At 41.6% G+C, this 17,119-nt stretch overlaps 1 protein-coding gene across 2 annotated transcripts in view; it reads right to left on the bottom strand.

Moving 5' to 3' along the window:
- The window catches only part of TAF15 (TATA-box binding protein associated factor 15), a 37,759-nt gene continuing 21,346 nt past the window's right edge, over positions 707-17,119 (bottom strand). For both annotated transcript variants that reach the window (NM_139215.3, NM_003487.4), the window contains exons 8-16: positions 14,008-14,042; positions 13,351-13,383; positions 11,708-11,817; positions 9,396-9,525; positions 5,490-5,582; positions 3,791-3,872; positions 3,581-3,669; positions 2,911-3,472; positions 707-1,043 (exon numbers count right to left, since the gene is read on the bottom strand). In NM_139215.3, coding sequence (NP_631961.1) covers positions 1,004-1,043; positions 2,911-3,472; positions 3,581-3,669; positions 3,791-3,872; positions 5,490-5,582; positions 9,396-9,525; positions 11,708-11,817; positions 13,351-13,383; positions 14,008-14,042 — 1,174 coding nt within the window. In that variant the 3' untranslated portion in view covers positions 707-1,003. The remainder of the gene's footprint in view (positions 1,044-2,910; positions 3,473-3,580; positions 3,670-3,790; positions 3,873-5,489; positions 5,583-9,395; positions 9,526-11,707; positions 11,818-13,350; positions 13,384-14,007; positions 14,043-17,119) is intronic.

Below are 17,119 nucleotides of genomic sequence, written 5' to 3'. Positions count from 1 at the left end.
GCCTCTGTACTTAGTGAACACTATTTTCTCAGCCTCTGTACTTAGTGAACTCCTAGTCTTCCCTCCACATTCGCCTTTCCCTACTCCCATGTGACTAAATTTAGTGTCCTTCAAATCAGCCCTCTAAGCACCTTGAACTTGTTACTGGTGCACTTATCGACTATGCTTTCTGTTTACTTGGTCAGCAACATATCTAGAATCTGATCCAGTGCCTTACCCATAGTTAAGAGTAGAATAAATAGTTCTCTAATAAACAGCAAATAACATACATATGTTGCCATCTTAACCCTGGCTTGTAAATCCTTTCTTTTCCTTGGAACTTCATATTCCCAGCATCTAAAACACTCCCCTAAATAAATCGTTGTCAAGTGATACTAAATAACTATATCAAAATCACCTGGTAAACTTGAGCTAAATAAGTATTTCCAGCCCTAACTCCCCATACCTCATTGAGCTCTGATCCAGCAGACCTAGAGGGCTGGGAATCTAGGAATCTAAATTTAACAACCTAGGAATCTAATTTTAACAAACTTCAGGTGATTCTGACTTGTCATTCCTGGGAACCACTAAACACAGTAGGAGCTCAATAAATATTGTTTAAAGTAACATTTTAATTTACTGAAGTATATAATTCATTTCCTAATTCTTTAGGATTAGAGTCTAATGTAACTGAGTCCTGAGTGTGACAGAACAATGCACTAGTATGTACAAAAGTCCACAAAAACAAGCAGCCTTTATTGCAGTATTACAAAACACTTTTCATTTTGGCAATATTTTACAACGCATTTAGCTCCAAGGGTTGGGGAGAAGGTTGGAAACTAAAGGGGGAAATCTCAACAGACATTTCTAGAAGAAAAACTGTCCCAGCCCTCCCACCCAAATAAAAATCCAAATGTCACTTAATTTCACTACCCAAGAAGAGGCCACGAGGAAAGCAGCAGGCAAAACTCTGGCAATTTCACTATGGATCATGTCAGAGACAAAGGAACATTCAAAACAGTCATCAGTATGGTCGGTTGCGCTGATCATTTCTGTAGTCGTTTCTAGGAATGAAAAATAAAGAGCCGGACTAAATTCTAATTTTCTACGAAGGGGGAGCATTAGACACTTCTTCAGGGTACTAGTGATTGGCATCAGCTAGACAATTTCTAAAGAATGACACCATGCCTCATTTATTTCTGTACTCCTAGAAGATACTTAAATGTCTAATTTACCAGCTTTAAGATTCACAAAGTTCCTAGAAGAAGCTTTGCTTCACTCTCTTAAAAATTTTCCACTTAAAACTCCAAACCACAAATATTTCAGAAGATCAGAAACTGTCCCAGTTCCAGCACTCTAAATAGGAGAGTGGCATAGTGGAATGAGCAAGCACTTACATGTATGAATTCTGGATCTGCCACTTACTATGTGACCTTGGAAAAGTTACACTAAATGACTGACTCTGTAAAATGGGAAGTATACCTACTTCATAGGAATGACAGAAGGACTAGAACTAAAGAATATAAGAACACTTTACAGTATTGGCCATACAGTAAGCAGTGTTCAATAGATGGTAATTAGGTTACTCATAATTACTAATAGCTAAAAATTATATAGTGCTTACTCTGGGCCAGCAACTAGTACAACGTAATCTAATACAAGTCTAAAAAGGACGTCTTATTAGCCCCATTTTACAGATAAGAATACTGACACTCCAAAGGATTAAGTAACTTTCCTAAGATCACACAGCTAATAAGTGGTAGAGTTAGGATTGAAACCCAGACAGTCTGCTTCCCAACTTTATGCTCTTAACCATATTCTATACTAATTCTCACTGCCTTATATTGCCGCTGGCATACAGGTCCTTAGTATAATAATTGAAGTTACTTTCTATCATTGGTCTTCTTCTGCCTCTACACCATTCGTGTGCACAAGACATTCCCATCAGTGGTTTTCATCTGGAAAAGTTATCAGTATCTCCAGAAAAACAACTGCAGGGTAGTATATATGATCTGAAAAAGAACCACCCTATGAAAGGTATGTTCCTTCACTTAGATTAGGAACTCTTGATTTACACAGTTTCAAGTTATTATCTCTCAATCTCAATTATCTTTATGAGAAAAAAATAATACACAGATACACCGAAACAAATAAAGATTTATGAATAAGAATTTCCAGCAGGTGGACAGGCACAGTGGCTCACGCCTGTAATCCCACCACTTTGGGAGGCCGAGGCGGGTGGATCACGAGGTCTAACATGGTGAAACCCCGTCTCTACTAAAAATACAAAAAATTAGCCGGGCGTGGTGGCGGGCGCCCATAGTCCCAGCTACTTGGGAGGCTGAGGCAGAATGGCGTGAACCCAGGAGGCGGGGCTTGCAGTGAGCCGAGACTGCGCCACTGCAAAGAATTTCCAGCAGGTGCTGTGGCTCACATCTGTAATCCAAACACTTTGGGAGGCCAAGACAGGAGGAATGCTTGAGGCCAGGAGTTTGAGACCAGCCTGGGCAACATAGTGAGACCCTGTCTCTACAGAAAATAAAAAAAATTGGCGAGGTGTGGTGGCACACACCTATAGTTCCAGCTACTTGGGAGACTGAGGCAGGAGTGTTGCCTGAGTCTAAGAGTTTGAGGTTACAATGAACTATGATCATACCACTGCACTCTAGCCTGGATGACAGAGCAAGACCCTGTCTCTGTCACTAAATTTAATTTTTATTGTCTCTAAAAAATAAAAATTAAAGTTAAAAAATAAAAAGTTCCAAAACAAAATTTTAGAAATTGCTAAGCAGGAAACTAAATCATCTTCTCCATCCTGAGAGAACTGGCAATGGGAAATTCAAGTTCCAAAAAATTGTTAAAATGTGGTTCAAATCCCCCAATCTAGGTGCAGTGAGGTAAAAAGGTTAATAAACACATTCTAATACTCACCTTCCTCCCATTTTGCCTCCATAGCCACCTCGGTCTCCTCCGTAGCCCCCACCTCGGTCTCCTCCATAGCCGCCACCACTCCTGTCTCCTCCATAGCCTCCACTTCGGTCTCCACCGTAGCCACTGCCACCACCACGGTCTCCTCCATAGCCCCCCCGGCTTCTGTCTCCTCCATAGCCTCCTCGATCTCCTCCATAACCTCCTCGATCTCCTCCGTAACCTCCTCGATCTCCTCCATAGCCTCCTCGGTCTCCACCATAGCCTCCACCTCGGTCTCCTCCATAGCCACCTCGATCTCCTCCATAGCCACCTCCTCGGTCTCCTCCATAGCCGCCTCCTCTGTCCCCACCATAGCCGCCGCCTCTGTCCCCACCATAGCCACCCCCACTTCTGTCTCCACCATAGCCGCCCCCACTTCTATCTCCGCTGTAGCCACCACCGCTGCTTCTGTCTCCACCATAGCCACCCCCACTTCTGTCTCCACCATAGCCGCCTCGGTCTCCACCTCTGCCCCCACGACCTCTGTAGCCCCTCTCTCCACCGTAGCCTCTCCCCCGGAAATCTGCAAGGTAGAAATGCAAACAATGAGGCCAGCAGAAACAACGTAAAGCCCCCTTAATGCTAGTCAGAAGATAAGCACGATGCAGATGCTATTAAAAGGCTGACCCACCTCCTCCTGAGGGACGAGAGTCCTCTGGTCTAGGCTCATTGCACTGATTGCAGGAATTCCTTCGAGCAAAGTTCATATTTCCGCATGACCTAAGAAAGGAGGAAAATATAATGCTCCTATATAGTTTCTAATGGACTCAGAACCCCTTTCTGTATCCTCCACAGCCCCAATCCCAACCCCTACTCTCACCAAAGTAAACAAGACACTTACGGATTAGGGCAAACCCAATCCCCACTTTTGGGGTCTCCACCTCTCCCTTGAAAGCCTCCACGACCTCTATATCCTCCACGGCCTAGGGGGATGGGGCCAGGGGAGAAAAATCAGCAGCAGATATTAACAAAACAGAAGAAAAGCATCAGATAACATAAGAGTAGATACCCATCAATACTTAGGCAGCACTCTGCAAATTAACCCCTTATACCAGGACTTTGTAATTCTTTGATTTGGGTCTTGTACTTAGTAAACAGAGGACCTTGAAAACAGACCCTAGGCACACAACACAGTGCAAATAATGCACTAGAAAACTTCAAAGTCCATTTTCTGTAATACAGGTTGAGTATCCCTTCCCCCAAATACTTGGGACCAAAAGTGTCTCTGATTTTGGATTTTTCAGATTTTGAAATATTTGCCTTATACTTGCGAGTTGAGCAGCCCAAATCCAAAAACCCAAAACCTGAAATGCTTCAATGACCATGACCATTTCCTTTGAGCATTATGTCGGTGCTCAAAGTTTTGGATTCCAGAGCATTTCCAATTTCAGATTTTCAAACTTAGGATGCCTAACCTATACCCTACTTAGTTTGAGAATCTCCATGAAGAAGATTAGGTGAGAAGACAAAAACTCCAAATGTAAGAATATGAATGCAAAGGCCACAGTAACATCCACCCACAAAACAGAAAAAGAAAAAAGACAAGAATATGAATCCAATAGAAATAAAGAAGCTGGGCTGGGTGCAGTGGCTCACACCTGTAATCCAAGCACTTTGGGAGGCCAAGGCAAGCAGATCATCTCAGGTCGGGAGTTCGAGACCAGCCTGACCAACATGGGAGAAACCCCATCTCTACTAAAAATACAAAATTAACTGGGCATGGTGGCGCATGCCTGTAATCCCAGCTACTTGGGACGCTGAGGCAGGCGAATCACTTGAACCCGGGAGGGAGAGGTTGCGGTGAGCCAAGAACGCGCCATTGTACTCCAGCCTGGGCAACAAGAGCGAAACTCTGTCTCAAAAATAAATAAATAAATAAAAAATAAAAAAAAAGCTGGCAGTAACTGTATCAGGCAGCTTAAAAACTGGTCAGATTAATTACCTAATTAGGTATCATTAAAACAATTGCCTCGCCAAGCACGGTGGCTCATGCCTGCAATCCCAGCACTTTGGAAGGCCAAGGTGGCTGGATCATGAGGTCAGGAGTTTGAGACCAGCCTGGCCAACATAGTGAAATCATCTCTATTAAAAATACAAAAATTAGCTGGACATGGTGGCGCACGCCTGTAGTCCCAGCTAGTTGGGAGGCTGAGGCAGGAGAATCACTTGAACCCGGGAGGCGGAGGTTGTGGTGAGCCGAGATCACGCCACTCCACTCCAGCCTGAGCAACAGAGTGAGACACCATCTCAAAAGAAACACAAAAACCAAAAAAAAAAAATTGCCTCCTGATTTCCAAGTGAACAGCAAATCACAATAAAGCTTTCCAAAGGGATTTCTACAACCATTTCCCACTACTTTCTTAGCTATTACGATATCTCATTTACCTAATATATTCAGTACCTGAACTCATTTTAAGATAGAGGGAAAAAGACCTAGCGAGAGAAAAAGCAGTAGCAAGTTCACACAAATAGAAACAGAGTATGAACTCAAACTTAAACCCTTGGATAGTATCCAGGACTGTACGCAGCAAGGATCTTACCTCGCCGCCCACCTCCACTTCCACCTCCTCTCATGAATTCAGGTCTTCTAGTGGCAAAGGACACTTTAATGATGTTGCCATGGAATTCTTTTCCTAAGAAAAAAGAAATCAGCTTTGAAGCAATGCTACTCTATACCTCCACCTGTCAACAAAAATGAAAAAGTCTTGGAAATCTTTAGTTTCAGAGGAGTAACTGACATGTCCTCACAGAAATTCAAATGCAAAGAGTCAAGATAACAGTGCTAAAAGTGACATTATCTACTGAAAAGAGCATATCTGTCACTGGGAGACAGTCACTTCTTACTAAGCTTAAAAAAAAAACAAAAACAAAAAACAAGGTGGAGTGGTATGTGTCTGTAGCACCAGCTCCCAGCTACTCAGGAGGCTGAGGTGGGAGATCACTTGAGTCCAGGAGCACGAGACCAGCCTGGGGAAGGAGATGGTGTCAGGGGTGGAGAAAAAGGCCAGGTGCAGTGGCTTATATCTGTAATCTCAGCACTTTTGGAGGCTGAGATAGAAGCCTCACTTGAGGCCAAGAGTTTGAGACAAGCCTGAGGAACGTAATGAGACCCTTTCTCTGAAAAAATTTTTTTAATTAGCTAGGCATGGTGGCATGCGCCTGTAGTCCTAGCTACTCAGAAGGCTGAGGCAGGAGGATTACTTGAGCCTGGGAATTCAAGGCTGCAGTGAGCTATCTTCGTGCCACTGTGTACTAGCCTGGAAGACAGTGTGATACTCTCTCTCCAAAAAAAAAAAAAAAAAAGCTGGGCGTGATGACTCAAGCTTGCAATCACAGCACTGTGGGAGGCCAAGGAAAGCTTGGGGCTCAGGAGTTTGGGACCAGCCTGGGCAACATGGGGAAACCCTGTCTCTACAAAAAATACAAAAAAATTAACTGGGTGTGGTGGCACCTGTGGTCCTAGCTACTTGGGAGGCTAAGGTAGGAGGATCACCTAAGCCCAGCAAGTCAAAAAAAAAAAAGAGTCAGGTGCACATGTCTACCTGTTCCCATGGGGAAAAAAAAACTAAAACCTGTATCTAATATTTTTACATGGGAAAAAAAGCCAGCTGTAGAATATGTGAAGTATGGTACCATTTGTTTATTTAAGGGAATGAATACGTGCGCAAGTGCAGTAACATGTACGTATTTATCTACACATATGCTTATATGCATTGCCTACTGTGCTTACTAGGGGACACAAGATCACTGGGATTCAAAGGTGAAAAAGAAACTCATATTTTACCATATGCCCTTGGTACCATTTGAAATTTTTTTTATCATTTCCAAAGTAATATAACAATTGGTAACTTTTTAAAAAATAGTAGTAAATAAGAATTGGCAAGATTTGAACTATGGAGTTAGGTTTAAAAGGCTCATATGCCCTATGGGCAAAAGTCACTATAATTTCTGAATATACCATATGCAAAAGACATAGCTTCATGATTCATTTCTCTCATTCTTATGAAAGCAGCAAAGTAAGAAAGAATGGACTTAGCCTTCAAGAGCAAGGTGATGAAGTCTGACAAATTAGTCTAAAAAAGTAAAGAATACAGAGACGGGGACAGACAGGGTACTACAATTTCATTTTTTTTTTTGACGGAGTCTTGCTGTGCGTCACCCAGGCTGGAGTACAGTGGCGTGATCTCGGCTCACTGCAACCTCCAACTCCCGGGTTCAAGCAAGTCTCCTGCCTCAGCCTCCTGAGTAGCTGGGATTACAGGTGCTCACCACCGCGCCTGGCTGATTTTTGTATTTTTAGTAGAGATGGGATTTCACCATGTTGGCCAGGCTGATCTTGAACTCCTGACCTTGTGATCCACCTGCCTCAGCCTCCCAAAGTGCTGGGATTACAGGCATGAGCCACCACGCCTGGCCTACAATCTCATCTTTAAAGAAGTAAAAGAGCTGGCCCAGTGCGGTGGTGAGCGCCTGTAATCCCAGCACTTTGGGAGGCTGAGGCGGGTGGATCACGAGGTCAGGAGATGGAGACCATCCTGGCTAACACAGTGAAACCCCTGTCTCTGCTAAAAATATAAAAAATTAGCCGGGCGTGGTGGCATGTACCTGTAGTCCCAGCTACTCGGGAGGCTGAGGCAGGAGAATGGCGTGAACCCAGGAGGCGGAGGTTCAAGTGAGCCGAGATTGCGCCACTGCACTCCAGCCTGAGCAACAGAGCAAGACTCAGTCTCAAAAAAAAAAAAAAAAAAAAAAGGAAAATAACGCAATTATGTTTTTGGAAGATGGAGGTACAATAATCTTGAAACTGAAAGGAACTGCAAGTGTTTGTCAATCCAGCATAGTTAAGTACTTTGGAAAGAGTAGATCCAGCACGGCTGAGTTTGAATCCTGACTCTGCGACTTACTCTATGATCCTGGAAATTACTTAGTTTCTCTATGCATCAGTTTCACTCTCTGTAAAACGGGAGTAACAGGGCATATGTCTCATAAGATTATTATGAAGATTAAATTGAGTTAATGCGTGTAAGGCTCTTAAAGTTGTGCTTAGCTCATAAACCTCAGTAAACATGCAGTAAGTGTTAGTTACTGTTAAATTAGGGTGCAACAAAAATGATGAATTTGTAACATGGGGAAATGACTACCTTTAAATGTTAAATGAAAAATACCGTAAGACAAAACTCTATTTGGAGTATTACAAGATACATCTTAAAACACCAGAAGGAAAATTATTAAGAAATATTATCAGTGGCTACCTTTGAGTAGAGGGCTATAGAGATGTTTTACTCATTTCTTCTACTTTCTGTTAAAAAAAGCATCTCGGCCGGGTGCGGTGGCTCACGCCTGTAATCCCAGCACTTTGGGAGGCCGAGGTGGGCGGATCACAAGGTCAGGAGATCGAGACCATCCTGGCTAACATGGTGAAACCCTGTCTCTACTAAAAATACAAAAAAATTAGCAGGGCGTGGTGGCGGGCGCCTGTAGTCCCAGCTACTGGGGAGGCTGAGGCAGGAGAATGGTGTGAACCCGGGAGGCGGAGCCTGCAGTGAGCCGAGATTGCGCCACTGCACTCCAGCCCGGGAGACAAAGCGAGACTCCGTCTCAAAAAAAAAAAAAAAAAAAAAAAAAAAAAGTCTATTTCTTCTAAGTATGTATTAACTTTATATTTGAAGGGAAATTAGCCTAAATTTTACTTTATTTATTTATAGGGTTTTTTTTTTTGGAGACAGGTTCTCGCTCTGTTGCCCAGGCTGGAACACAGTGACTCAATCACAGCTCACTGCAGCCACGACTTCCTGGGCCCAAGTGATCCTCCCACCTCAGACTCCTAAGTAACTGGGACCACAGCTGCACACCACCACGTCCAGGTTATTTAAAAAAAAAAAAAATTTTTTTTTTGTTTTAGTAGAGGCAAGCTCTATGTTGCCCAGGCTGGTCTCCAACTCCTGAGCTGAACTGATCCTCCTGCCTCAGCCTCCCAAAGCACTGGGATTATAGGCATAAGCAATGCCACCTGGCCTAAATTTCAAACTATAAAGTCAGGGGATGAGAAATCACTTAATGGGTAAAATGTACATTATTCAAGTGATAGATACAGGAAAACCCCAGACTTTACCACTATGCAATATATCCATGTAACAAAATGCCATCTCTGTACCTTTTAAATTTATTTTTTTAAAAAGAAAAAATAACATACTGTCAACCAGGCCAACTCTCTACATCTGTATCAGGGTAGCCTCATGCACAAGGCATGATATAACGAAATATGCTAGACCAACAACGATAGAGCTCATCTCATTTCTAAAGGTACATAAAAATTCTGACCTGTATTCTTAATATCTGCAAAAGTAAACATGAATATAATCACTGTCACCCAGAGCATATTCTCACTTTCAGACTAGAAAACATTTATCCAACTTCATGCTGAAAACTATACGAATGAGGCATACCATCAAACCAGTCAATGGCTGCCTTAGCTGAAGGAGGGTCATCAAATGACACTGTTGCCTCCCCCTTTGGCTTTCCTGTGTCCTTGTCTGTATAAAGATTTATCATTGGTTTTCCGGTCTTCTTATTTGTCTGAGGAAAAACAGAAACACTTGGTGTTAGCATTTTTAAAATAAGTAATCATGTATCATTTAGATAATCAAAGATTTATTTTTTTTACAAGGAATTCACACATTCATACTATAAAATACTATGCACCTAATAAGTTACCTGTAGGTTTAGACAAGCATAACTCTCTAAGCTACACTAAGTGAAAACCAAGCTATAAAAATGATATAGTATACTGTTTTATCTATGTATAATTTTTTTTAATTGAGACAGGGTTTCACTCTGTCACCCAGGTTGGAATGCAGTGGCACGATCATACTCAATGTAGCCTCAAATTCCTGGACTTAAGTGATCCTCCCACCTCAGCCTCCCGAGTAGCTGGGACTACAAGCAAGTGCCACCACGCCCGGCTTTTTTGTTGTTGTAGAGATGGGGTCTTGCTATATGGCTCAGGCTGGTCTCAAACCCTTGGCCTCAAGCGATCCTCCTGCCTCAGCCTCCCAAAGTGCTGTGATTAAGTGCTGATTACAGGAATCAGCCACCACATCCAGTTTATAATTTCTTTAAATCCACAGAAATTAAATGTAGATAATGCTTCATGTAAATACGTAACTTTTTTTTGAGGTGGAGTCTCGCTCTGTTGCCCAGGCTGGAGTGCAGTGGCACAATCTCGGCTCACTGCAACCTTCACCTCCCAGGTTCACATCACTCTCCTGCCTCAGCCGCCCAAGTAGCTGGGACTACAGGCGCATGCCACCACGCCCATCTAATTTCTTGTATTTTCAGTAGAGACAGGGTTTCATCGTGTTAGCCAGGATGGTCTTGATCTCCTGACCTTGTGATCCACCCGCCTTGGCCTCCCAAAGTGCTGGGATTACAGGTGTGAGCCACCACGCCCGGCCGTAAATATGTAACTTCTAAAACGTTACACTGGGATTTGGCTGGGATAAGACAAGGGAGAATTTTACTTTTTCAAAACTCTGTGAATTTAGGCCAGGCATGGTGGATCACGCCTGTAATCCCAGCACTTGGTGGGAGGCTGAGGTGGGAGGATCACTTGAGCCCAGGAGCTCAAGACCAGCCTGGGCAATAATAGGGAGACTCCATCTCTAAAAAAAAAAATTTTTAACTAGCTGGGTGTGAGGACATGCATTAGTGGTTCCAACTACTCAGGAGGCTGAGTTGGGAGGATCACTTGAGCCCAGGAGATTGAGGCTGCAGTGACCCATGATTATGCCACTGTACTCCAGCCTGGATGGAATGAAGCAAGACCCTGTCTCAAGACAACAACGACAACAACAAAATTACATATTTTGTGTGTAATTAATTCCTTAACAAATTATAACTCCCAAAGAAAGAAAAAAGTGAGTAGGCCGGGCACGGTGGCTCATTCCTACTGTAATCCTGGGACTTTGGGAGGCCGAGGTGGGCGGATCACTTGAGGTCAAGAGATCAAGACCATCCTGGCCAACACAGTGAAACCCCATCTCTACTAAAAATACAAAAATTAGCTGGGCGTGGTAGCGCCTGTAGTCCCAGCTACTCAAGAGGCTGAGGCAGGAGAATCACTTGAACCCGGAAGGCAGAGGCTGCAGTGAGCCGACATCGCGCCACTGCACTCCAGCCTGGTGAAACAGTGAGATTCTGTCTCAAAAAAAAAAAAGAGTAATTCCACAGACACCAAAACAAGGGCAGATGTAAACTGATTTCAAGAAACTGTTACTATCTAAACATTACTAAGGCTGCTTTCTAGTTGAAGAGATGAAAAACATATGCATGAAAATAGTGCAAAAGACGCTTTAGTGAACAATGAGCAATTACAAGATAACGTATTATCTCTAGCATAAACATTAAATAACCCCTCCCAAGAGCTCTAACAACTTGAACTTGCATATATTTCAGTCTATAAAATGTTCTCAGCAACTCCTTTATTTCTCACAGTTATAAGAACTAAGCAGAGACTAATTTTAGAGTCCTAAGATGGAAGCTAAAGCACAGGTAGACTGTGGAAAGGTAAACACAAGCAAGGAATAAAATCTTCATATATTCAACAAATTTAGCAAACGTCTACAGACATAAACGAGCATGTGCATCACAAAATTTTAAGAGACAAGGCGTACTGAAGTATGTAGGCTTACTACATAGTCTATGTATTGTAATCAGAACATTAATTATGAGATTTTCAACATATAATATTTTTACTCACCTTGATAATTCCTATTTGTTTAAAGAACTCCCCAACTTGATCTGTAGACACACCCTCCCCAAGTCCTTGCACAAAGATTGTGTTGTTATCTGAATTATCAGATTCTGAATCTAAGAGAAAAAAAGTGATGGTTAATTTTACATATTCCTTGGTTATGACATTCTGTTCAGTAATCAAAGACAATAATTTATTGTCCAATATTCAATTGTTTCTATGACCAAAAGGAAAGGACCAATATAAGAACAACCTTATATAAACATGCAAAGTATTCACAGTAATTATTTGGTTGATCAATTCTTACAACTAAATTTCAAGTAAAGTGGATCAAGTCCACACTATGTGAAATACCTATATACCAATTAAGGATGATCTTACAAACCTCACTCTTCAGATTCAGACATAGGGCTAAACGTCATGAAGAGATGGAGTTAGTTTAGCATTTCTTTCTCTGGAGAACTCTAATTCTTTACGGTTAAACATTTTTAAGATTCTCTAGTACAAAATTCTCCAAATCTGATACTTTGAACTTCCAAGCAAGCCACAAAGCAGAACTGCTGGTTTCCCATTCATTGCAATAAGCTTTGTATATACCAGAGTGCGGAGGCACCTTGTACATGTTACCTGACATGCACACTTTTGGATTAGTACAACAAAGAAAGAAAGATGTATAAGAATTCAGTCCATGAAGGGATAATTCAGAAATTGCCATCCACATAGAATACTTTGGCATCTTAATAAAAACAAAAGTTCTGATTTCAAATTTTTAGCTCAAATAGATTTTTAACCTCTAAATTATAACTTTCAACAGGCTCCACAGGTAAATCTGTAGCCTTGAATTTCATTTAAATAAAAAGCCACAGAAAATTAGTGACCTCTACCCAAAATAAGACAATTCTCTCATGTATGAATTTAGGTTTCTTGAATTCACTAAGTCAGCACACTTAAGCAGACTACCAATCCAACGTAGGATTTTCTTTCTTAAATAGTTTTTCTACTTCTAATTCCACAATGATATAAATTCTTTCATTAATCTGATTTGCAATAATTTTAAATAATTAATGCTAACTAGCAGTAAAAATTCAAGTATTTCTTCACGGAAGAAAGAATATGGGAAAGCACAAACAGCAATTTTCCCCAGCAAACTGTCCCATCAATACTCCTGAATTTTTCTGACACTTCTTTAGAAATAAAGCTCCCCAGCCGGGCGTGGTGGCTCACACCTGTATTCCCAGCACTGTGGGAGGCTGAGACAGGCGGATCTCGAGGTCAGGAGTTCAAGACCAGCCTGGCCAGCATGGTGAAACCCTGCCTCTACTAAAAATACAAAAATTAGCAGGGCATGGTGGCGCGCACCTGTAGTCCCACCTACTTGGGAGGCAGACGCAGGAGAACTGCTTGAACCCGGCAGGTGGGGGCTGCAGTGAGCCAAGACTGTGCCACTGCACTCCAGCCTGGGCAACAAGAGCGAAACTCCATCTCAAAAAAAAAAAAAAAAAAAAAAGAAATAAAGCTCCCCAGTTCTGGCAGCACTATCAAATTAAATCTTCCTCCTGTACTAAGCCCCTCCAAACACACACTTTTCCCATCAAAAAAAAAACTAACATTTTCTTAATGGCAAAGTGACAAACCACCATAAACCTTACCAGCATCTGTTCTGGGTCCATAATCCCTGTGACCTAAGGGAAAAGAAAAGAAAAAAGAGCTATTTAAGGCAATTTATTTAAAATCATTAACAAAAAAAATAGTAATAAACCAAGGCATGAAAAGTCAATACTTCCAAAATCCTTGAAAGTCAACCATCACAGATTTACAAAGTAAATATATAAATTATGTTTTATTTAAAGTTTAGGAAATCAAGATGAATGTCAACATTTCCTTTAACTTGTCCTAGACAGCACCTGCCACTTTAGCATTATGCTAGTATCACTTTTGTTAAGCTCTGGTTGTAAAGGCTGATTGGACAACCCTAATAATTTAAAAACACCATGTCAGCTACCTTTATAAGAACAAATTGTCAAAATCCAGTGAAGGTGTCATTCATTGGTCACCACAGACTCTTTCATGCAAATTCACTGTGTAGAAAACCCATTGGACTGTTTTGAGATCAACTTTGGCTTTTTAATGTTTACTTTGATATATATATGTGTATATATATATATATAAAATTTTTTTTAAAGCACACAACACACACCAGCCTCAACAGAGTAAGAAAGGACTTTTGACTACATCTGCGGGATATTGGTGGCTTTTAGATTTATATAGCATTTCCACTGAAACATTTTGGGATACTCAGCACTTACCACCAAAATTTTTGAAGCCACCGCGGTCACCACCACTGCAGAGGAAAAATTGAAGAAATGATTTCTTCCTTAAGTCTCTAATGTGCTGAGCCCTGGGCTCAATCTACACTTAACTGTCACAAGTAGAGTGCTTAGGAAAACAGTAGCACCTCTAAGTTTTCAGTAAATTCCATTTCACAGAGTTCTAAATGTTGTTTCCATCTAAGTGTTTTCCCAAGGATCTATTTCCACAAGATGTCTTTTCAAGCTTATTACATATCTAATATACTCTTATTTCTAAATCTTCCCAACCCCAAGCCAAAGGGATACTATTAAACCATAACATAAAGCTGGAGGCACAGCATGAAAAATACTAAACTAGAGTAAGTATTTTTTCCAAACGGTTATTTTCTAAATATGAGAAAAAGAAAAAAGACTAGAAGAATACAAAGCAAGGTTAAGATTTTGATGGTAGAACGGGAGAGAATAAAAACTTGAGTATTAGGATCTGCTATGATACCAAATAGTGGATTTTATGAGATGAATTTTAAAAGTGAAATACAAATATACACAAAAGTTGAGACTGAATAAAAGCAGTCTTAAAATTTCAAATCATTCAAAACCCTTATAAAAGACTAAAAGAGCATCACTTAAAAACCGCCCTCCTACTCTATACCCACTATACTACATCTCTTCACATCAGAGCTACGGAGGTTCATGCTGCCACATGCTCTGTACACTATCAGTAGTGCACATTACAGACAGCAGGCAACATATTCCAAACAGGACAACTTTTTTTTTTTTTTGAGACAGAGTCTCGCTCTGTCACCCAGGCTGAAGTGCAGTGGTGGGATCTTGGCTCACTGCAACCTCCACCTCCCAGGTTCAAGTGATTTTCCTGCCTTAGCCTCCCTAGTAGCTGGGATTACAGATGCGTGTCGCCACACCCAGGTAACTTCTGTGTTTTTAGTAGAGATGAGATTTCACCATGTTGGCTAAGTTGATCTCCAGCTCCTGGCCTCAAATAATCCGCCCACCTCAGCCTCCCAAAATGCCAGGATTACAGGCACGAGCCACTGCGCCAGGACATAGACTTTTATCTGGCAAATTAGAATCACAAGGACAGTGGTCCTTGTGAACATGGCTTTACGTAAGAAATCTAAGGTCTCTCTTATCAAGAAACTCTTTAAATACCCATCCAATAAAAGCTTGTTTCTCTTAACTGAATTCTGTAATCCTTTAAGATTCATATGCTAACATGGCAATAAAAACACTCAAGTTTTCTGATACCAGATGTTCTACTACTAATGATCTTATTCTATTATAACCCAAGAATCTAATCTAAAATACTGAAGTCTCTCACTGCTTAGAAATCTCTGCTTTATGGATACCAATCTTATGGGGGGTGGGGGGAGGAACCCTCAACTCTAGTGATTACCCTACCCTATAAATGGCTTTTCTGAGCCACACTGAGATAAAACACTCTGAAAAAAAATTCTCCCTTCTTAATACATCCATTCTATTTCACTATGAGGTAAAAATATTTCCACTTACAGCTGCCTTAGGTACAGACACATGCATTTTAATTTGTTGTTACTTTTTATATGATTTCCAGGATGCCTTTTTAAGCAGGAGACTAAGGCTATTTCAAGGCAATATAGACAATATGAAACTCAGGCCCTTCCTATACAGTTTGCCACTGAATTTCTAAGACTCCTACTTCAGAACAGGCAGTACTAAAGCCCTCCCTTTACTTCTAAATGACATGTATATCACTGCCTAACTCTTTAAGAAAGGGAAGCCAACAGAGTTGAGATTAAACTGCTGAAAATATTATTAATAGAAACCAAGGTATCTCAGAGGTTTTTTTTTGTTTGTTTTTTCCCAGACGGAGTCTTGCTCTGTTGCCCAGGCTGAAGTGCAGTGGCGCAATCTTGGCTCACCGCAAGCTCCGCCTCCCGGGTTCATGCCATTCTCCTGCCTCAGCCTCCCGAGTAGCTGGGACTGCAGGCGCCACCACGCCCGGCTAATTTTTTGTATTTTTAGTAGAGACGGGGTTTCACTGTGTTGGCCAGGATGGTCTCGATCTCCTGACCTCGTGATCTGCCCGCCTCAGGCTCCCAAAGTGCTGGGATTACAGGTGTGAGCCACCACGCCCGGCCTCTCAGAGGTTTTTTAACTCCAAAAAGTGATAAAAAAGAACTTAAGCCCACGTTCTTATGCCAGTAGGTTAAAGTTCCGAGGATAAAGATGACTTTTAAAATGGGAAATTGGAGGTCACTGGGTTCACGAATAAGTGCTAGAAGAAATGCCTCTTACTTTGTTGCCATCTTAAGGGAATACCAAACCTGGCCACAATGGATGGAAAACATGCAATTTCATACATAGCTAGTTCCTATAATTTCCATTCTGGCCAGTAATATAACTTTGAACAACAGAAAAAGGACATACCCCTGGCAAAAATAAAGGGATATAAAACAAATGACATTTAAATAGGTTTATGATTTCCTATTCCTCCATATAATACATTTGAACATCATCTTTTTTTTTTTTTTTGCGACGGAGTCTTGCTCTGTCGCCCAGGCTGGAGTGCAGTGGCGCGATCTCGGCTCACTGCAAGCTCCGCCTCCTGGGTTCCCGCCATTCTCCTGCCTCAGCCTCCCGAGTAGCTGGGACTACAGGCGCCCGCCACCATGCCCGGCTAATTTTTGTTTTTGTATTTTTAGTAGAGACGGGGTTTCACCGTGTTAGCCAGGATGGTCTCAATCTCCTGACTTCATGATCCGCCCGTCTCGGCCTCCCAAAGCACTGGGATTACAGGCATGAGTCACTGCGCCCGGCCTTGAACGTCATCTTTACTGTGCATTTCCTTTGAAAATAAAGCAGCTGAAGATTTCAACACATGGCCATAAATTTGGAAATACCATAGTACACTGGAAAAAGAACTAGTCTTCAAGAAACTCAGGGTACAGTCTTAACTATAACTAATCAATCTTGAAAATCTGGACATGTCAGTGGTTCTCCATAAGCTTCAATCTCCTTAACAAAATAAGGGTCTGTCCCCTTACTAATCAAAACATGATGGAATATAAGCGTAAGCATAGCCTGGAAGGTTCTGAGAAAAGCAGGATCT

This window comes from Homo sapiens, chromosome 17 (assembly GCF_000001405.40).
Source record: "Homo sapiens chromosome 17, GRCh38.p14 Primary Assembly".
Classification (NCBI taxonomy): Eukaryota; Metazoa; Chordata; class Mammalia; order Primates; family Hominidae; genus Homo; species Homo sapiens.
Note: the sequence above shows the minus strand (reverse complement) of the source record. Positions and strands in the feature narration are given on the sequence as shown.